Raw genomic sequence first — 21,047 nt, forward strand, 5'->3', positions numbered from 1 at the left:
CTCTGAGCTTTCGCCCTTGAGGCTACCCTACCTAGTTAGTACACCCACAACCCCAAGCCCCAGGGACCTGCCCAGCCTCATCACTGTGGCTGAGGACAGTCACCTGCACTTGGACACGTAGGTCCAATAAGTGGTTCCTGAAGAAAGGAATCCCAACTCCCAAGCTCAAGTGGCACTTCTTCCAGTAAGGCTGCCTGGATTGCTCCCAGTGGGAGCAACCATCCTCTCTCCAGTAGAGCTGTCTCAGGAACCTGCGTGCATACCAAGGGTTTGCTCTTGAGCTCCTGGGCTCAGCAGCCAGGCCCCTTCAGTCGGAGGCCACACCCTGCCAGTTTTGGTGCCCTGCTCCAGGGGACACTCCTCTGATGATCAGCTGTGGGCAGGGCTGAGCGTTGGGGTGGCCCATCTGTGGGGCCCTCCTCTGGTCATTCAGGGGCAGGTAAGGTGACGCCAGCACAGATGGCGGGCGGCTCTGGGAAGAGGCAGGCGGGAAATCCGACCCTCCTGACAGGCAAGCGGGGACCTGAAAGGTGGTATCCGCCTGAGCTGGGAGACAAATGAGGAGAGTGATGGGGACCCAGGCCAGGGATACAAGCAAGCAGAAGGCCACCAGCATCTATGACAAAAGTGTTTAATGCTCCATAATGTGCAGCTTCTAAGTGAAAAAGGCCCGTTAATCATCCACGGGCCGTACATTCTCATGACAGAGCAGCCGCCCTCCTCGGCCCCCCAAGAGGGAGGCATAGGCAGGGAGTGGGCCCTGTGAGGCACGGTCCTGAGTGTGCCCGCCAGGAACGCACACGTGTTAGTGCCCACATGAAACAGGGGTGGGGCGTGACATTTACACAGGAGAGAACCACAGACACCCATGTGAGGAGACACGAGGGGCACAGGTGACCATGGGCCAGGGAACACCCCAGTCCATGCATGGCTGAATCCACGAGGAGCGCGAGCTGGATGGTGGGAGTCACGCGGTAACGGGCTCAGGTCTCCTAGGAGCAGAACAGGCCCAGGTCCTCAGGAGACCTCGTGCCCAGGGCAGCGGGACAGACCTGAGCCTGCCCATGAGAACTTGAGTGTGCAAACCTGCGCACAGGTGTGAGAACAGACTCCAGGGCGAGTGTTTAAGGAGAAGACACAGACACACATAAGACCCACTAGTGGGAATGTGGAGACCCCAGGAAAGGTGGGGAGGCCCAGAGCAGCAAGTAGAGGGGAGTGGGCACTCTGTCCCGGGACTCCCATAGGCTCGGCAGGGCCAGAGACAGCCTTGGGGGTGAGAGGCCAGAGCCAAGGGCCCTGCATCTGAGAGTCCAAGGGTCTAGGAAGGCTCAGGGTGGGAGGGCCCAGCTTCACCATAGACACCAGGGTCCACGCTGGCTTGGGGAGAAGGTGCAGGTATCAGATGAGCCTCAGGCCTCACTGCTGCTGGGGCAGCCTCTGCTGCTGCCGCACTCCACCCACACGAGGCGGGCCTGCTCCTGCAGGATGCGGCCGCGCACCACCTTGGCCAGCTCCTCTGCGTGTCCCCACTCATGGGCGGGCACCTGCACCCAGGAGCAGGGCAGCCCCCAGAGCACCTGCTCTGAGCCACGGCACTGCCGCAGCAGCTCTGAGTCCCGCCAGCCCGGCCGGCCCAGCAGACCCCTGCCGAGAGAAGAGTGAGCAGCGGTCAAAGTGGGGGACCAAGACAGACAGAGAGACAGGGAGAGAGGGACAGACAAAGGGGGAAGAGTCAGAGAGAGAAGATGGACAACCAAAGAGAGACAGATGGCAGATGGAGATGGAGAGAGAGAGACAGAGAAGGGGAGGGAGAGACGGGGGAGGGAGGGGGGAGGGAGAGAGAGGGGGAGAAGGAGGGGGGAGGGGGAGGGAGAGAGGGGGAAGGAGAGAGAGGGGGAGGGAGAAAGAGGGGGAGGGAGAGAGAGGGGGGAGGGAGAGAGGCATCCTCAAGGAGGAAGCTCTCAGGTCCGAGTGCCCTGCCCACTGCCCCACCCACCCACCTCACCTGACTTCCCGGACATTCTTCTCAGTCACCTCCACGTGGATGACGATGGGGTAGATCTCGTTCTGCACCAGCTCCCGCACACCCCGAGCACCCAGCTCCAGCAGGCAGTGCTTCTGCTTGGAGGATCGAGGCTACAATGTACTCCTGGGCCACAGACATCAGCCTCCCATGCGCTGCCCCCAGACGGGTCCCCTATCACCGCCTTCCCAGATGCAAGTCCTGCCTCCCCACCCAGAGGGACCCTGGCAACGAGGAAGGAGCCCAAAAGTACAGACAAGAGGCCTGGGCTCATGGGGCAACCTGGAGATACAGACCTCCCCCTCAGGACCTAGGCCTCCCCACCCGGAGGATGGAGCTGACCCAAACCCACCCACCACCCGCCACCTTATAGCCGACTGCCAGCTCCCAGGATAGTGGCAAGTTCAAGGATAAGGATGTGTAGGTGAGCTGTGTCAGCCAAACACCTCAAGGGGGGCCCACATGCAGTCAACTGCCCCCACCCACCCAGGCAACAGGTGAGGAAACTGAAGGCCACAGGAGGGAAAGGACTTGGCCAGGGCCGCCCTGCCAGTGAGCAGCAGAGCATGGCCCGCGCTCAGACGCTGGCGCTCAAGCCCAGAACAGCAGCACCCGCTCTGGGCCACCTCTGTGAGCACCCCAGGCCAGCCCCCAGCACCCACCTTCCCAACAGACTCCTGGATGGCCCGGATCCTGCTGCCTAGCCCAGGGGTGGCAGGCTGAGCCTTGGGGGCTCCAGGCGCTGAGGATGGGCACAGTTCCTCCCCAGAGAGGCTTTCTGCACAGGGAGTGGAGAGGGAGAGATGAAGGATCCATGGGCCCGGCTGCCCAGAGGGGCACCCAGCCTCCCCTCCCCGGCACATAGTCTCACCCGCTGGGCACACTTGGAAGTCCAGCCGGGAGCTGGGCAGGTCTAGCAGGTTACGGATGAGCCGGGGCGCCAGGCACTCAGGCAACAGCACCACGGGCCGCAGGGCAGACACCAGTAGCGGCCGCACCAAACTGTAGGGTCTGAGGCTCCGCTCCGGCTCTGTGGCAGGGGAGGGGCGCAAAAGAGATAAGGGCACAGGCAGGCAGCATACCAGCTCGTCGATACCCCAAAACCCACCCCGCCACCCATCCCTTCCTAAGTCCTGCTGCTGCTCCTCCTACACATGCACACACACACACCCTTAGTAGGACCGACGGTGGCAGTAGGCTCCTCCCTGATTCTCTGCCTCATCCCTGCCCCCTACGGGTCATTCTCCATCCAGCAGCCAGAGAGGCTTTAAAAAGCAAATCAGATCATGTTAACTCCCCTGCTTTCAACACACCAGTGACTTCCCAGATTCTCAGGAATAAAAGCCACATCCCCCACGTGGGTGACACAGTCCTGCCTGAGAGCCTGGGGAGGCTGCCAGCCACTGACCCCACACCACCAGCCTCCACTCTCCCTTCAGCTGCGTCCAACCACAGGGCCTTTGCATGCCCTGGGGCTGCCCAAAGCCCCAGCCCTGCACCACTCAGCCCAGTTAACCCTTGCCCTCCCTTCAGAGCCTAGGTCACACCTTCCCTGGTCCCCAGACATCAGGGCCCCTGGCATGTGCCCCACGGCCCCCAGTTCTCCACTGCACACCTCACACTCTCTCATTGTGTTCATAGGTGGGATTATCTGACTCTCTACCCCCTAATTAGACAGCAAGCTCCATGAGGGCAGGGACAGTCACGTCCCCAATGCCTGACAGAGCTGGTACTCAATACTCACCTGCTGTCCCCAACACCCTCCAAGCACACCACACACAGCCATGCCTCTGTGCCTTCTGCCTGGAACGAACTCCTCTTTAACTTTGAAGGCCCCCGCGGAAACTCCCTCTCTTCCAGGAAGTCTTCCCTAACTACCCGCTCCTCTTGCCCCAGATTTGCTACTCCCTCATCTGAGCTCCCCCAGCCCCTTCTACCTGTCTGGCCTAAGGCCTCACCCTACTGCCTCCGGGAACCCCCCTGGGTCCTCACAGCACCTGCCACCACACACGTGTGAGAAGCACCACTACACACACTCTGCCAGAAAAGAACAAGCCAGTATGTGTGCAAACCCACAGTCACAGCCACGTCTGCATGCACCTCCCCGCAGGGTCTCCCTCAACCTTGGCAATCACCATGGCAGGTGGGGTGGTCTTGTCTCTCAGGCCCCCAGCATGACCCCCACTCCTGTTGGAACCCTCACAACAGGCCCTTCCAGGCCAAAGAGGCCACCCAAGCTAAAGGACACTCAGCTGCACACATCCCTGGACAATGGGAGCAACACGGGATACAGCTTTGCCCCCGCGCACTCACCTGCACAGGGCTCCAGCAGCAGCTGATCCGGGGAGTCCCCTGCAGGCGCCCCCACGGGCTTGGGCCTCACCAGCCGCAGCTGGTCCAGGGCTCTCTTCTTCAGCTGGGAGGGTGCAGGGACAGAGGAGCATCTGAGAGCTCAGCCCCGCCCCCTCAGGGAGAGGAGGAAACGGGACCCCTGGCACAGCGGGCCCCACTGCCACTGTGGTCCAGGCTTGCCAGAAGAGCCTGGGTCAGCAAAGATGTCCTTCTCCACCAGGCCCTCCCCTGCCCCTCCCCAGCCCAGCACAGTCCCCCAGGCAGATGAGAGCAGCCATCCCTGTGGCCCCCGGGAAGCCAGCCCGTCTGAGCCTGGTGGAGGAGCCTTAGGTATACCCCCCAAGCTACAGATGGGGAGACTGAGGCCCAGAGACCAAGAGGAACCAAATGTCACATACGAGGCAAACTTTAGGGTCTCTTCCAATGAATTAGCAATGTGACCTTGGTAGAAAAATTAATGAAACCAATAAAGATGGCACTGATTTTACCAATACCTGACAGGTCTCAAATGCCTACAACATGACAGACACTCACTAAGCCCCTGAGGGGCACTAACTCACGGAAGTCATCTCCTGCCACGCACAGCCTGACAGGCAGTACAACCCCCGCACTTTACAGATGAGGAAACAAGCCTCAAGGAAGGTTCAGGTGATTGTCCAAAGTCACACAGCTGATAGGTGGCAGAGCTGGGGTCGAATGCAGGCTGCCTGGCTGGGGCCCTCGCTCTTCCTTTATCTGATGGCTCTGAGCCTCACTTGCCCATGTGCACAGCAGCGCTGGCCACGAAGCCCAGCCACCATCCAGGCATTGGAAAAGGGGACATGACTGCTGGTTTGTTTTTTTTGTTTTTTTTTTTGAAACGGAGTCTTGCCCTGTGGCCCAGGCTGGAGTGCAGTGGCGCGATCTTGGCTCACTGCAAGCTCCGCCTCCCGGGTTCACTTCATTCTCCCGCCTCAGCCTCCCAAGTAGCTGAGACTACAGGCACCCGCCACCACGCCCGGCTAATTTTGTTTTTGTATTTTCAGTAGAGACGGGGTTTCACCGTGTTAGCCAGGATGGTCTCGATCTCCTGACCTTGTGATCCGCCCACCTCGGCCTCCCAAAGTGCTGGGATTACAGGCGTGAGCCACTGTGCCCAGCCTGTCAAATGCTTATTATGTACCAGGGGTACTCCTGCATACTAGGCACGCTTTACCTCATTTCATCTCTAAACTACCCTGGACGGTGAGCTCTGCTGTTCTGTTTGCTGGGCACATAGTAGATGACCAATTAAATCACCAGGGAAGGAGGGAGGGAGTGTCTTCCTAGGTTGCCAGAGAACAGAGCCTGCTAGCTCCCTTTTGGACCCCACCCTTGGGGCCCCCCACCCACTACCTGCCCAGCCGTGCTCACATTACTGCGGGGGCCTCGGTGCCGGCTGGAGGGCAGGCATTTCTCCTGAACTTCTAGGAGCTGCTGGGCTCTGTGGGAGGGAGTGACATCATGTGTGTAGAAAGAAGGAAAGCTCCTCATTTCTCCTCGAACCCCCCGCCCTGTCCCAGAGGATGGTGAGGGAATGCAGGTGGAGGGAGAGCACCCCCATCTGAGCCCTGGCTCCCAGGGGGACCCCATCCCCAGCTCCTGGCTCTGCGTCACCTCTGATAATTGGGCACGGTGCCCCGGTCCAGGTCCCGCAGAGTGAGGGGGTCAACCCGGGTGCAGAACCATTCCTGCCTCCGCTTGTATGCCGAGTCCACCAGTCGAAGGATCTCTTGGGCTTTCACGCAAAGGGCATGGGGATCTGCCCTCTCAGGCAAGGTGAGGTTGGCACGAATGTAGAAGGGCTCGGCACCTGGTCCCTTTGCCCAGGCTTCTAGGGCCTCGTGGAAGGACTGGCAGGCTGGGCATGGATGGGGCAGGGGGCAGCAAGGAGGACAAGAGGAGGATGGTGAGGTCCAGGATCGGCCTTGGTGGGGCCAAAGACATGGCCCTCTCGAGGCCTGAGTTCCCAGGACCCGACCTTCACCTTCTTAGAATGACTTAGGTCCAGAGGGGGCAGGGACTTGCCCAAGGCCAGTGCCTTCTAGAAACAGAGCCAGGACTCAAACCCAGGTCTCTGGACTCCTAATGTAGTGCTCCTTTCACTGTAAGCTGCTTACAGAGGGAGGCATAGAGAAAGGGCACAAGGACAGACAGAAGGAGGCATCAGCAGGCGGGGAGCCAGGAGAAGGGCAATTGGGGCAAGGCTGGTCCCTTCTCAGGTCCTTGGTCCCTCCCCACCCCATGCACCACGGGTTAGAGGACCCCTCTGGGGCCAACAGCTCCGACTCCCAAGCCAGACTTACCCTTCGAGTCCATCAGGGAGGGGAGTGTGGACCCCTGATTCCAGAGCAAGGTTCTCTGCTGGGCCTCGGCTTCCAGGCACGCCCCCTCCAGACCAGCAGCTTCCACCCTTTGCTGGGAGAAAACCCAGGCAGGGAGGGAAAGAAGTGAGCCTCTGAGAGTAGAGCAGCCCAGGGGCTGGAGGAAGACCAGGTGTGGGGGTGTTTCATGCCTCACAGTTCAGATAGCGCCCCCTCAGAAACTGCCATGCCCAGCCCAGTCAGACCCGTCCCCATCCACAGGACGCCCCCATCCACAGGACTCCCCAACCCGCCCAGCTCATCCAGGTCTTTCTCGACTTGAAGCGCAGGAATGTAACGTGCTGTCAGTTGGCTCCACCTCCCAGTCCCTGCCCAATCAGACTTCAATTAAGCCTGGCTGAGCAGGCAACCACAGCTAATCACTGAGCCCGCTTCGGCTTTGACCAATCCCCAGAAGCTCTGCCCGGTGATCTTGATCCACCAAATTAAGGGATGTCCAGCCTGGGCAAAAGCACTGACCCTACCCCCCCAGCTCAGGAGGCAGGGCCTCACCTCTCTTGGTTCCATCCTGGCGGACCCAGGCCCAGACAGCACCCTGCGCACCACAGCCCCAGACCATCTGTCCCCATAAAACGACAGTCCATCTGGTCCCTTGTCCTGCGGCTCTGGGCCCCCTGGGGGGCTCCGGCCAGACACCCGAATAGCCAGAGACCTGAGAAGGGAGAAAGGAGATGAGAATTGGAGTCCAATCAGTACTTGGATTCAGTTCAGCATTCTTGGAAAACCACAGTGATTTCATTTCCCAAGTATGCCATGACTCCCACCCCCAGGCCTCTCCATCTTCTGTGCCCTCTTCCTTGCCTTCTCCACCTGGGAAATGCTGATCATCCTTCAAATCTCAAGTCACAAGCAGCCTCTCCCCTGGACCTGGGCACACGGTGCAGTGGAGCCTGCGTGCCACAGAGCACTCCAACTTTGCCTTGCCACGGCCCTTTCGTTTCCTCCATCAGAACGAACACCTTCAGGACCAAACTTCTATACTGTTCCGCTCTGTAGCCCTGGCACCAAACCCAGTGTCTGGCACATAGCAGATGACTAATAAAAGCTTGTTATATAGCCAAGCACGGTGGCTCACGCCTGTAATCCCAGCACTTTGGGAGGCCGAGGCAGGCGGATCATGAGGTCAGGAGTTCGAGACCAGCCTGGCCAACATAGTGAAACCCCATCTCTACTAAAAATACAAAAAAATTAGCCGGGCGTGGTGGTGGGCGCCTGTAATTCCAGCTACTTGGGAGGAGAATTGCTTGAACCCAGGAGGCAGAGGTTGCAGTGAGCCGAGATCGAGCCACTGCACTCCAGCCTGGGCAACAAGACTGAAACTCTGTCTCAAAAAAAAAAAAAAAAGCTTGTTATGCTCACAGTCTGAGGAGGGAGGTCACCATTAGCACGTGGCACAGATCCAAAGGTGGTTACAACCAGCCGTGGAAGCAGAGAGAGGCTTCCCACGGAAGAAGTACCTAGGCTACACGCTGGTGAAGAATAGATGCACTTTGGTGACAGATGGAGGAAACAGAGTTCCAGGCTGAAGGAATATATCAGAGCAAAGGTGTGGAGGACAGAACACAGGATGCGTGGAAGAATTTAATAATAACAATAGCAGCGAACACTTCCTGGGTGCTTTCCATGTGCCAGACACCATGCTGAGCTCCTTGCCCTAATTCTTATTTTACATCCTGGGAAGCAGCTCCCAGGAAAGGCAAGCTGGAGCCACCCTTTGGAGGGCGTGGAACAGAGGCGTCTGGTTTTCCTCCCATGGGCAGGAGGACCACTGACAATTAAGACGTCACCAAAATCCCCATCATGGTAGGGTTCTGCCTGTCCCTGGATGAGAAAAGGTGAGGCCTTGTGGCCAGGCTCAGAGACAAATGGACCCCAAGTCCCCTGCCAGACACCTTGGCCTGGAGGAGGTGGGGAGACCAAGGTCAGCAGGTGTGCTGGCTGGAGAGGCAGCGGGGCGAAGCATCTCCATCCACCCCAGCAGCTGCAGCCCAGACACAGCTGCACTGCCCCCTGCTGCCAGCCTGGGGAGGGCGCGGCTGCAAGGACCTCCCACCCAATCGGCACTGCTGGGGAACAGCCCCGCCCTCTCAGGTAAGACACAGAGCCAGGCCGAGGGGCTGGACAGATGCAGGCATGGGAGGCATCATTCAGTGCCGCATGTCCTGGCTGCATCGAGGTGGCATGGAAAGGGGGCAGGCCTGAGACCTGGCCTGGCTATGCTGGCCCTGGCTTTGTGGCTGGAGCACACGGTCCGCTCCAAACCCCAGGGCAAACTGCACCCTAGCCTGGGCAAATGAGCCGGCTGCTGAGCGTCAGTTACCACATGCATAACACGAAGCTGACAATGACACCCCTTGCCCTCTGTGGGTGCTGGGGGGTGGGGGGGGGGGGCACATGAATAAAAGATAATGCAGGGAGAGGTGGAAACCAGAGGACTCTGGGGCCTCCAAACTGCAGGCCTGGCCCTTAGTGGCTGGTAACATTCACTGGGTTGCGACTGGGACAGCTGGATAATGCTATGGAATAGAAAGTACAATGCTATCCCCCACCCCGCTCCCGCCACCCCAGGTAAATCCAATTATTATCTCATGACCTTTTTGTTCCAGGCATGTGTACCGGGTTTCTCTCACTGTGGGTTGTGGTCAGATGGTCCGAGAAGCACAGCACGCAGGGTGCCAGCAGGAACTCTGGGGTCAAACGGCCCAGCTGCTCAGCCGCTTGAGCCTCAGCTCCACCCACCTCCCTGGCTACTCGCTGAGTTTAGACATGGGCAGCTCTCAGAACAGGGCCCAGGAGACACTAAGTGCTCTGTCAAAACTAGACATTTACTGGCATCAGGTGTGATTCACAACAAATCACCTCTCGCTTGCCTCAGTTTCCCCACCTGTTTCAAACCCACAGACAACTGACCATCATGGCCTCTCCAGACCAGAGCCCAGTAAGCAGCTGGCATCCAGGCTCTTCCACCAACCCTACCCACCCCACCCACCTCTACTCGCTCCCTCCTCCACACCTCTCCCCTCTGCAATGCAAGCATCAAGGCTGACCTCAGCTTTCAACTCAGGTTTTTCAGGCTCTTCTTGACAACTCCTGCAGCTCCCTGAAGACCCAGCTCAGGCGCCCCCTCCTCCAGGACGCCCTTGCCAACCTCCTCAAAGGACCAGTGACTTCTCTGAGCCTCCACAGACCAGGAATACCTGCTCCCAGCACTCCTCGGAGTCTGCAGAGCCCACAGGGGCTTGCCCAGAGCAGGGTCCAGATAGGGTTCCTCCCAGCCCCCCGCCTCAGCAGACAAGCAGGAGGGGTAGAGAAAGGACACAGCAGGGAGAGGGGCTGCCTGCTCCCCGCTCCTGGGACTGGCTGACCAGCTGGCTGCCTGTGTGGTACTAGGAAGCACAGTGTCCTTAGCTACCAGCTCCCAGCCCCCTCCCCAGTCAGGTCAGGTCACAGGCAGACAGGAACGGGGCAAGTCTGCCAGCTCTGCCAGCTCTGAGCAGTGACAGGCCACATGGCCTCAATGAATGTCCCCCAGGGCCCCGTGGGAAGATATCTGAGTAGTCTGCGTGCCTGCTTGGTACCAGGTCAGGGACCTGATGCTGAGACTGAAGCATGCCACACAGATCACCTCAGTCAATCCTCCTGACAACCCGATGGTTGAGATAAGGGAAACTGAGGCACAGGAAAGTTAACTTGCCAAGAATGGGCACAGCTAGTGGGCCGTGGAGCCAGGCAATGACTTATGGGAACCCTCTCTTTGCAAGGACAGAAGGTGCCAGAGATCCCCTGGGGCCACGTGAGCGAGCTGGGCAGTGGTGAGGCTATGCTGGGGAGACGGCACCCCGAAACCCTCCAGTGCTCTCCATGCTCTGCCTCTCTCACCCAGCACCTCACTTGCCCCATGAGTTCTCCCTTGCTGTCCCCCACCTGACTATCTGTCAGCCCAACCCCCGGTCTGCCCCAGCCCCCCACTATCCACCATCCCCTCCCGGCACCCAGGCTCCAGGAGCTGAGAAGGGCAGGGCAGAGAGGCTGAGGGCAAGAGATGGGCAGGAAATGGGAAAGAGGAGAGAAAATGCCCAACATGGTGCCCAGTACAAAGTGGGCACACAATACGGATGTGAGATCTCCAACAGCTGAGACAGTGGGGAGGCACATCGGAATCTCCAACCAGCTCCGAGGGGCCTGTGACTTGGGACCAATTTCTAACTGTCTCTGTACTTCAGTGTCCTGGTCTGTGTAACGAGGTTAAAATTCCAGCCTTGCAGAGCTGCTCTGAGGATTAAACAACAATGGCGACAATAATCATAACTAACCGCGAGCATATGCTGACATCCACCGTGAGTGTGCTAAGCATTCTAGAAGGGATACTCAAACCCCCATAGTGACCCTAAGGGACAGGCACTATGTGAGCCCATTTTACAGAGCAGGAAACTGAGGCACTGGGAAATTCAGAGACATGCCCAAGGTCCCACAGTAGCAAGTGCTGACACCAAAGCCAGCTCTTCCCACCTCGCCATAACACAATCCCAGGAGACACACAAGTTGCCCCGACCTGGGACCTGTCCGGGCCCTCATCTCCCTCTCCCTCTCCTCTCCGCCTGTCTGCCTCTCTCTCTCTCTTTCTCTCTCTCTCTCTGTCCACCACCTCTGCACCTTCCCCAGCCTGTGTTCTTCCCCAGGAACCTCTCTCCTCCCCAGGAACAGCATGGGCAGCAGAAGTGGCCCCATGTGATCGTGGGGCCTGGGCGGGGCTGGGACGGAGGCTCCTGCTCCCTGGCTGCATCCTGGCGCCCCCTGGACAACAGCCAGGACCCCTGCTGCAGCCCAAACTGGAGGAAGGGAGGAAGGGCCGAGGCGAGCAGGAAGGGAGGCGCCTCCACCCCTTCCCCGAGAAGCACGTCCTGCACAGGCAAAAACAATGTCTCGCTGAGCCCACTGCCGGGGGCCAGGTGGGGGCAGGGCCTGGACACTGGCTGACCAAGCCGCTCCGGAGGCCAGAGGCCCTGGTCCTATGCTGTACCCATCTGCTGCGTGACCCATCCCTCTGCACCCAACACCTCCACATTCCAGCGCTGACAGTCCATGTTTCCTATGCCCTTTCCAAAACCCAAATCTGATCAGGTCACTATGAACCCAGACCTGGTACTTCCCAACTGTGGGACCCTGGGCAAGTTGCTTAACCTCTCTGAGCCCCAGTTACCTCCTCTATGGAGCAGAGATAATCGTCATTATGCCTACTCCCTGGACAAAGAGCATGTTGTAAAACAGCCAGCAGCTGGCCTTGCAGTTAATAACTAAACCCTCCCACATTTCCCAGAGTGTACAAGCCAAAGTCCACACTTTCCCAGCCTGACTCAGGAAGCCTTGACTTTCGCCCTTCCCCCTCGCTCCTCCTCCACAGTCACCGGATGCTCTCCCTACCTGCCCTCTCCTCACAGCTGAGTTCCAAGACCACAATGGCCGTGCAGCCCCCGCTCTGCCCCACCCCTCCCTTAGATACACTGGCAGGTGTGAACAGCGGCCACGCACCGGCCACACTAACAGCACGTCGCCTACAGTGCACTCTGCACTAATGGGCTTTGTGACTCCTGTTATGGACCTGTGGCTGGCCCGGTCACAGGGGCTCCTGAGGTGACCCAAGCCCACCCACAGCATGAAACTTTGCTGGGTGGCTCAGTCCCAGGGACTCAGAGCCAAGGGACTGACAGGCAGGACATTGGGACGAGGACAGCTTGTAAGTGACAACTATTACTAAGCACCTGCTACATGCCTGGCAGAGCTGGGTGCTTTGCTTCTGCGAGCAGAGCCCTCAAAAGACCTCCATGCAAAAAGGGTCATCATCTCCCTTTAGCTACTGAGGAAATGGAGGCCCAGAGAAGTGAAGGGACCAGCCCAAGTCACAGGGACGATCAAGAGCGGCAGCAGGATTGGAATCCAAGGGCTGCCAGTGTCTACAGATCTTAATCTTCCAATAGTTGCATAAAACAGGGGCGAGGCAATTGCTCCTCCCACCTCACTCCTGTTCCCCTCTCAAGCAATCACCCCAGCTCCACCCACTGCAGGCAGCTACAGTACCTGTTGAGGAAGTCCAGGCCACAGCCCCGAGCCAGGAGGCCTTCCGGCTTTCCCAAAGGCCACACGCTGTCAGAGGATGAGGACGAAGAGAGGCCAGGGGACCAGGGCTTAAGTGTCACACTCCCTGGGGAAAAAGAATGAGGTTCAGGGATCTGGCACTGGGAAACAGGGATGGCCAGGGTCCATGACAGGGACTGACCCCCCTCCAGCCCAGAGAGGCCTTGGCAGGTTTGAGGCCCCAGGAGCACATCAGACCCACTGGGCTCAGAGATAGGTCAGGGCCCACCAGGCTGACCCCGCAGTTTCCCAGAAGAGGGTGAAAGGTGGCCCAGAACTGAAGAGCCTCGTACATCACAGCCGGGAACAGGAGTGAGGCCCAGGACTGGGCTCGGGGTGAGAGGCTGGAACCAAAGTCCCCAGGGTCCTCCCAAGCACAACCTTCCTGCCTGGCAGGGGCCACGGCGGGGCTTCAGGGAAGGGGATGCAGGCCAAAGGTAGCGCAGGTGGTGCAGGCTTCAGGTGGGCTGCAAAGCCACCTCCCCCGACCAGAGGAGCCCTCCCCACGGAACTCAAGGGCTGTTACCTGTGATGTCTGACATGCTGCTGAAGGATCTGGGCAGAGAGAGGGCAGGGAGGGGGCAGGAGGTGAGGCACAGTGGGCACTCTGCCCCGCTCCCTCCTCCTGCCCCCACACCAGATAAATGTCTCACAGCCCCCAAGCAAATGCAGGCTAGACTCAAGGCAGGGTCCCAGGTACAGGGCACCCATGCCACCTGGCTCCCCTAAACTCCCAGGGTAAGAAGTTAATGTCCTGGCCTCTGTCCAATGTTGTTCCACCTACAATGCCCTGGCATGCCCTTCAAAGCCAGCTCTTTCAATGCCACCTCCTCCTGGAAGCCACCCCTGATCTCTCACCCCTCACCTCACCCTCACTTGCCACCTTTGTGGTTTGTGACTCCCAGGTACGCCTCCTAAATTAAACCATGACCTCCTCATCAGACACCTCCTTGGGACAGATTTACGCAGATCAAGGCCATACTGACCACAGCCTCCCAGGGCCCAGCCTCTCACCAGTAAAGGAATAAATCAAGGGCTGCTTACAGGGGAAAAGCAGTGACAAGGATCGCGCCCCAGGAGGCAGGCTATCTCCCGCCCTTGGTCTTGCCACCAGAGGGTGCGCCTTGGTTTTTCTGGTCCCTATTTGCTGCTGATGCCCAAACCTGGGGCCTGGCTTTCTTGCCGGAGGTCCCTGATACCTTGAAACATTCTCCACGCCCCCTAGTCCTGAACCATCAAGCTTCTCCTTGGGTATAGGATCTTCAAGGCTTGACCCCCAGTGACCCTCCTGCCAGGATGCTTGGCTAGGACTGAGTTCGCTCTGCCCATCGGCCTTATCTTAAGCCTGACCTTGGTCGCCCCTGTGACTCACAGGACCTGGGTTTCCAGAGCTCCAGCCATCTGAGGGCAATAAAGGGAAGTGACTGCCTGGACCTGACTTTGGCATTGCAGATTCTGGGAGGTGGCTGTTCGGGAAACGGCAGCCCCACCTCCCTGGGTGTCTACTGCTATCCCCAGCCATCTCACCTCTTAGGGGGTGCGGGGTCTTCCTCACGCTGCCGGCGGAGGATGGAGCCGGCACTGGGGGGGAAGGGCAGGATGGAGAGCCGATTGATCTCCTTTTCACTGTCTGTGGCTTCCTCCTGCAATGCCATGACAGGGCCTGGGTCACCCCCACTGCCCAGCACCATCCCAGTCCTCAGCACACCTGGTTTGTGCCCATTCCACAAATGAGAAGTAGGGCCCAGAGCAGAAGAGCGGGCTCTGCAAGATTATAGTGTGCGGGTGGCTCCCCACGCCTCCTGGCACCTATGCCTGGCAAGGAAATGGTTCTGGGTGAGCTTCAGTAAAGTACTTGGCCTCCCTGCGCCTCAGTGTCCTCACCTGTGAAATGGATCCTTCAGAAAGCACTCTCCACATTAGTAATAATGCTATAGCAGTGTCCCCCCTTATTTGGGATGGGGCAGTTGTCTTACCGAGTTGTGAGGCTCAGGTCCCCCCATGACAGCTGCCTCCCCAGTTGCTTCTGGGCCTCCCAGAGGGGAGGGGAACTCGCTCAGGCTCCAAGTGCTGCTGAGGTTGGAGCACAGGGAATGGGAGGAGGCACAGGCCTGGAAGAGGGAGAGGAGAGGAAGGAGGTGAGCAGTGCTAGGCCCACGTCAACCACAGTCCTTTACTGAGCACCTGCCATGTGCCAGCACAGGGACAGATCCCTGTCCTCAGGGAGCTCACAGCCTAGAATGGGAGATAAACTGTAAACCAGCAGACATGTGAACAAAATAGCCCCAAGCTGAGACAATAGCAGAAGGAAGGTGCCCAGGGCATGGAAAACACACAAAGACCCCACCCAGCCTGGGAGTCCAAGTACTCTCCAAAGAAACTGTGGTTTGAACTGAGAACTCAAGGGTATAGAGGCGCTAAGTAGGTCAAGCTGGGATGGTCCAGGCAGATCAACAGCATGTGCAAAGGCCCTGAGGCAGGACTGTGATGCATTCCAGTTGAAAGACTGGAACCCACAGAACCAGGCGAGAGGACAAGAGGAACCCCACCCGCAGGGCCTCTTGGCCATGAAAAGGGACTCTGTCTTTACCAAACAGCAAAAAAGCCACTGGGGGTTAAAAAAAAAAAAAAGTCTTGGATTAATGCTGACTTTTCCTATATTCCTCCAGGCCCCAGTGCTTCAAACACCAGGCCTGCGGAGCTCACTGTCAGGCAACTCAAAATAAGAAAACGCAGGCTGGGCGTTCGCACCTCTAATCCCAGCACTTTGGGAGGCTGAGGCAGGAGGATCCCTTGAGGTCAGGAGTTTGAAACCAGCCTGGCCAACATGGTGAAACCCCCATCCCTACTGAAAATACAAAAAAAAACTTAGCTGGGTATGGTGGCAGGCACCTGTAGTCCCAGCTACTAGGGAGGCTAAGGCACGAGAATAACTTGAACCTGGGATCCAGCCTGGGTGATACAGCAAGATTCTGTCTCAAAAAAAAAAAAAAAAGGAAAAAGCAGAGCTCCCGGCAGCAGCCTGAGGACCACGATCCAATTTACAGTGGGTCTGGGACTCCAGCTCCAGTGCTAGCTGGCTGTGTGGCCTTGGGCAAGCCCCTCACCCTCTCTGGGCCCTGTGCGATGAGAGGATTAGACCAGCTGGTCTCTGAGGGATGCTTAGGCCCATGTTAGTCCTGACTAGCTGGTCTCTGAGGCCCAGGTTTTGCATTCTAACATGCACACAGGCACTCAGGCAGCCAGCCTTCCCCAGTTAAATGCAAAGACCAGCTCCAAACTATTCTTAGTGTCCCAGAAGCAACCCCAGAAACTCAGAGACCAACATGCCCCTCCGCCTGCTCACCAGCCCACACCCAGCCCAGCCTGGGTTCAAGTTCCCGCCCCTAACTGAGGACTCTTCCCACTTCCCCCAAGCTTCCTCCCCTGGCTGAGGTCTCCCACCAGGGCCGGCACGTTCCCAGCCCTGGCCAAGAGCTCCTGCCAGGACCCCAGCCTTCCTGCCAGGACCTCCACAATCTTGACCCGCTCACCTTGAGGCAGGTGCCACCCTGGGCCCGCTGCAGCTGAACCTCCAGCAGAGCCTTGGTGCCCTCCAGGCTGGTGAGCGTTGTCAGCAGCTCATCCCGCTCCGCCTCCAGGCCCCGCACCTGCTTGCGGTACTGGTCCTTCTCGATGAGGCTCTGTGAGTACTGCAACTGGATCCGGTCACGGCTCTGGATGGCCTAGGGTTGGGGGAGGGGAGGCAGCAGCTGAAGGAGCCACCTTGGCCCAGCTTTCCTGGCCTATGACTTGGAGAATGGGGACAGTAAGGAGAATGGCAGCTATCACTTACTGAGCACTGTGTGCCGGGCCCTGAGCTAAATTATCAGCTCATTTAAATATCTTCACACTAACTGGCTAAGTTAGATACTATTAATATCATTATTCTCATTCTGCAGACTGGGGAAACCAAGCCAGGAGCGACAGAGCTGGGATTCAAATCGGGCAGTCCATCTGCAGAATCCAGGCTCTCACCATTTCACCAAGAACTGAAAACTTTTCCACGAGACCTGCTGTGTGCCAGGGGCTTCACTCCCAGCATCCCAGTCAGTGGAGAAGCCAGGAGTCAAACCCAGCCCACTGCATCCACAGTGAAGACCAGGGGCTCCAGAGCTGGGCCCATGGTCCAGACCTGTCACCCATGCCTCAGAGAGAGCCGGGGGCAGCCCCATAAAATGCAGATTCCTGGGGCCCACCCCAGACCACCTGAATCAGAACGTCCAGAGAATGAAGCCCCAAATTTGCACTTTCAAGCTTGCCAGGGGATTCTGAGGGCATTTCTAATATGCAGACTTCGGCTGGGCATGGGAGCTCATGCCTTTGATCCCAGCACTTTGGGAGGCTGAGGCAGGTGGATCAGTTGAGCCCAGGAGTTCAAGACCAGCCTGGTCAATATAGTGAAACCCTGTCTCTACTAAAGATACAAAAATTAGCCAGGAATGGTGGCATGCCTGTAATACCAGCTACTTGGGAGGCTGAGGCAGGAGAATCACTTGAATCTGGGAGGCCTCAGTGAGCTGAGATTGCACCACTGCACTCCAACCTGGGCAACAGAGCTAGATTCAGTCTCAAAAAGTAATAACAACAATAATATACAGACTTCAACTCCTCTAGTGGGATTCACACCTGGTTAAGGACAAAAACCTCCTGCCCTTCCCCGCTGCAGATGGAACCTCACACAAGGAGGCTCGGGGGCCTGGTGGCACTGGCCGGAGGTCCTCAGCCCACCCCACAACCTTGGCAGGAGACAAGGGTCATAGTGCCCAGGGACTGAAAGCCAAAACTTTTGAGAATTTCTTCATCGGCTTCTATTTGTAAGCACTCCCTCTGTGCTGGCCTTGTCTTTGAGATGGACAGAACAAGGGATTCAAAAATGAAGACACCAGGACCAGCTTCTGTAACTGCCACAGGAGCTCAGATGAGGCCAGTGGGTCCAGGGTGTAAGGCTGGTATCTCAAGGGCTCCAGGTCTCCTGTCTGGTTCCCCCAGCCTTTGTGCCCCGTCCTAACCCAACAGGGAGCGGCTAACGTCTCTTTCTACCATTCTAGTCCCCTCCATTGCTCCTTGTCTCCTCCCATATGGGAAGCAGCAACTGGCCCAGGGCCTCGTACACGCAGGCTGGGCTCACCTGGTCTCGCTCCTTCTCAATCTCCTCCAGTTGGGCCAGGACAGTGGCCATGCGGTGCTTGTACAGGTCACAGTCCTTCTGCAGCGTGCGGTGCTTGAGCCGCAGGTCTTCCATCTCCTGCAGGTACTGAGGGTGGCACGGGGCGGGGTCAGACCACAGGGCTGGGGACCATGAGAAAGCTAACCAGCAGGTGCCCAGGAGGGCCAGTGAGAGACGCTCACCAACAGTCTGAGACCCAATAACAAGTCCCCTCCTGCCCAGTGGAGTGGTCTGAGCCACTGACTTTACCTCACAGGCCCTCAACTGCCTAATCTGTAAAACGAGAAGAATGATCATCATTTCACCCATCCGGCCACCCTTGGCCTCCCCACTCAAACTGCAACCGGCCCCTTCCCCAGCTCTGCATCTCCCACGGTGCTCATCGCCTTTGACTACATGAAATAGCTGACGTGGGACTGTGTATCTCACATACTGCCAGTCTCCCCTGCTGGAGTTCCCCCTCAAGGAAAAGGCACCTTTGTTTTGCTCACTGCGGCATCTCAAGCGCCTAGAAGGGTGCCTCCGTCAACATCTGAGAACAAATGAATGCAGTTCTCAGCGCGGCGCCTGCGTCAAGCAGATGCTCAGGGAAGGCGTGAGCACACAGGCCCTGCCTGACACCCTCCCGCACAAGGGGCAGGGCACGGGCAGGGCCCCACCTGGTCGCGCAGCTCCTCGGCCCACTGCAGCTCCCCCTGCACGGCATGCAGCTTCTGGCACAGCTCCTGCCTGCTGTCCTGCGCCTCCCGCCAGTCATGCTCTAGGATGTCCAGCAGGATGCGCTCGGAGCCCGGGGCCCCCGGCCGGCTCGCCTCCTGGGGATCACAGGGCAGGGCCACCTCAGGGTCTGGCTAGGGGCCCACCCTGGGTGTGGGAAGGAAGGGGACACGCAGCTCTCAGCCCTCCAAACCCACCTGACCAGCTCTGCCATGCTGGCCCGGGGCCTCGACCCTCTCTGGATCTCTGTCTCCCCATCGGCAGAGTGGGTGTGGCCCCACAAGCCCTACCCACCCTCCAGGGAGTATCTGGGGTACAAGTAAGCTAATAAGCTAAGTGGAGAAGGGTGTGACTGGACAAGTTCACCCAGGATTATTCCTAAACAAGCACCAGGCACACACTCGTGCTCTGGCCCTCACCCACCATCCAGGGCAGCAGACGGAGGCCATTCCCAAGACCTACTCCCACCCCCATGACTAGGGGTCTTCAAGGGGCTGAGCCTGGCCCATACAGGTAGACCCTGGGCCCAAGATCTTGCCCCCAGACCCACACCCCAGCCAAGTGCCCCAACCCCATGAAACACACTGGCTCTCATCCCCCACTTCCTGTGTGGAACAATGGCCAGGAGGCAGGCCCATGCAGCTGCTGACCTGCCACTGACCTGCCGCAGGACACTAAGCAAGCCCTAGGGCCCCCAGGCCACACCCTCTACAAATCAAATTAAAGCTGGGGCCCTTTCCCCAGAAAAATGCTCACACTCAAAATCAGGGGGGCAGTTTTAGGGAGTTTGAGGACCTTCTGGAGGCTGCTCACACACCCTAGACCAGACAACCAGGGACAGCCACGTGCTAAGGGCCCTCAGCTCAGAGCTTCAGGCAAGAGGCTACCGGGACTCCATCCAGATCTCAGATCCCTGGTTCTGAAATCCTCAGCTTCCCAGGCCTTGGGAGGATAAGCAAACAGCAAGAGGGCCTGTTTTCCGGGTCTGACCCCCACCCCCACTCCATGTCCACGAGCCCTGGCCCTAGTACCTGCTGCAGGCCCTCCTGACCTCCCCGCAGCCTGTGCCCATGAACGCTGGCCCTGGTACCTGCTGCAGGCCCTCCTGACCCCCCCTCAACCCCCATGGCCACGAGGCCCAGCCCTGGTACCTGCTGCAGGTCCTTCTGACCTCCCCCGACCCCCATGCCCATGGGCCCCAGCCCTGGTACCTGCTGCAGGCCCTCCTGACCTCCTGCCAGCCTGTGCCCACAAGCCCCAGCCCTGGTACCTACCGCAGGCCCTCCTGACCACCCCCCACCCCCGTGCCCATGGGCCCCAGCCCTGGTACCTGCTGCAGGCCCTCCTGACCTCCTGCCAGCCTGTGCCCACAAGCCCCAGCCCTGGTACCTACCGCAGGCCCTCCTGACCACCCCCCACCCCCGTGCCCATGGGCCCCAGCCCTGGTACCTGCTGCAGGCCCTCCTGAGCCCCGCTACCCAGCCTGTGCCCAGAAGCCCTGGCCCTGCTACCTGCTGCAGGCCTTCCTGATCCCCCACCCCGCAGCCTGTGCCCACAAGCCCCAGTACCTGCTGCAGGCCCTCCTGACCACCCCCCAGCCTGTGCCCACAAGCCCTGGCCCTGGTACCTGCTGCAGGCCCTCCTGCAACTCCCGCAGTGACGCCGTCAGCCGCTGGTTCTCAGCACGCAGCTCAGAGACAAGGTCCACATTGTCTGGCTCCTTCTCCTTCTCCTTCTCCTTCTCCTTCTCCTCTGCCCCAGGGGGCGGGCCCCTGGCCCTTCGAAGCAGTGCACACTCTTCCTCCAGCCGACTCACTTTGAGCTTGAGCTGATCCACCTGGAGCCCAAGACATGGGTCAGCCCAGAGGGAGACACACTGGGAGCCACGGGTTACAGGGGTGGGAAGACCTGCTCCCTCACTCCTGGGTGCCTCCCAGATTCCCAGAGAAGCCGAAGCAGGAGTCCTCCCCAGGCTTGTCTATGAAAACAGGACAGGCTGGACAGATATAAAACAAACAGGGCTGAGGAAGGAGCAGTGGGTAGCAAGGCCAAGGACACCCTCCCAGGGGAATCCACTCTAAGAACTTGTGGGCGGACATGCTGCATCACGACACGCTGTCTGTCCCGCACTTCTGACACTGACTCCCGTCAATTTAGCCCAGTATTCTCATGGCAGAAAAGGAGGAGGGCCGCATCAAGAAGAAGTGGG

The 21,047-nt window shown here is 58.8% G+C and overlaps 1 protein-coding gene across 1 annotated transcript in view, besides 4 other annotated features; it reads right to left on the reverse strand.

Annotated features, from left to right (window-relative positions):
• Positions 1-615: 615 nt before the first annotated feature.
• Positions 616-21,047, reverse strand: part of CARD10 (caspase recruitment domain family member 10) — a 29,054-nt gene continuing 8,622 nt past the window's right edge. The window contains exons 4-20 of the mRNA NM_014550.4: positions 20,466-20,675; positions 18,781-18,936; positions 18,083-18,208; positions 16,446-16,637; positions 14,889-15,023; positions 14,440-14,555; positions 13,439-13,467; positions 12,856-12,979; positions 7,273-7,432; positions 6,703-6,814; positions 6,014-6,257; positions 5,771-5,840; positions 4,340-4,442; positions 2,898-3,056; positions 2,689-2,804; positions 2,009-2,121; positions 616-1,647 (exon numbers count right to left, since the gene is read on the reverse strand). Of these exons, the coding sequence (NP_055365.2) occupies positions 1,413-1,647; positions 2,009-2,121; positions 2,689-2,804; positions 2,898-3,056; positions 4,340-4,442; positions 5,771-5,840; positions 6,014-6,257; positions 6,703-6,814; positions 7,273-7,432; positions 12,856-12,979; positions 13,439-13,467; positions 14,440-14,555; positions 14,889-15,023; positions 16,446-16,637; positions 18,083-18,208; positions 18,781-18,936; positions 20,466-20,675 (2,400 nt within the window). The 3' untranslated portion in view covers positions 616-1,412. The remainder of the gene's footprint in view (positions 1,648-2,008; positions 2,122-2,688; positions 2,805-2,897; positions 3,057-4,339; positions 4,443-5,770; positions 5,841-6,013; positions 6,258-6,702; positions 6,815-7,272; positions 7,433-12,855; positions 12,980-13,438; positions 13,468-14,439; positions 14,556-14,888; positions 15,024-16,445; positions 16,638-18,082; positions 18,209-18,780; positions 18,937-20,465; positions 20,676-21,047) is intronic.
• Positions 12,316-12,915: an enhancer, noted in NCBI's record as "H3K4me1 hESC enhancer chr22:37898069-37898668 (GRCh37/hg19 assembly coordinates)". NCBI's record gives its function as "activates a minimal SCP1, AML or CMV promoter by ChIP-STARR-seq in naive H9 embryonic stem cells {active_cell/tissue: H9 hESC(naive)}" and the evidence as "EXISTENCE:reporter gene assay evidence [ECO:0000049][PMID:30033119]".
• Positions 12,916-13,513: an enhancer, noted in NCBI's record as "H3K4me1 hESC enhancer chr22:37898669-37899266 (GRCh37/hg19 assembly coordinates)". NCBI's record gives its function as "activates a minimal SCP1, AML or CMV promoter by ChIP-STARR-seq in naive H9 embryonic stem cells {active_cell/tissue: H9 hESC(naive)}" and the evidence as "EXISTENCE:reporter gene assay evidence [ECO:0000049][PMID:30033119]".
• Positions 18,379-19,207: an enhancer, noted in NCBI's record as "H3K27ac-H3K4me1 hESC enhancer chr22:37904132-37904960 (GRCh37/hg19 assembly coordinates)". NCBI's record gives its function as "activates a minimal SCP1, AML or CMV promoter by ChIP-STARR-seq in primed H9 embryonic stem cells {active_cell/tissue: H9 hESC(primed)}" and the evidence as "EXISTENCE:reporter gene assay evidence [ECO:0000049][PMID:30033119]".
• Positions 19,208-20,034: an enhancer, noted in NCBI's record as "H3K27ac-H3K4me1 hESC enhancer chr22:37904961-37905787 (GRCh37/hg19 assembly coordinates)". NCBI's record gives its function as "activates a minimal SCP1, AML or CMV promoter by ChIP-STARR-seq in primed H9 embryonic stem cells {active_cell/tissue: H9 hESC(primed)}" and the evidence as "EXISTENCE:reporter gene assay evidence [ECO:0000049][PMID:30033119]".

Source organism: Homo sapiens, chromosome 22 (assembly GCF_000001405.40).
Source record: "Homo sapiens chromosome 22, GRCh38.p14 Primary Assembly".
In the NCBI taxonomy this organism is placed as follows: Eukaryota; Metazoa; Chordata; class Mammalia; order Primates; family Hominidae; genus Homo; species Homo sapiens.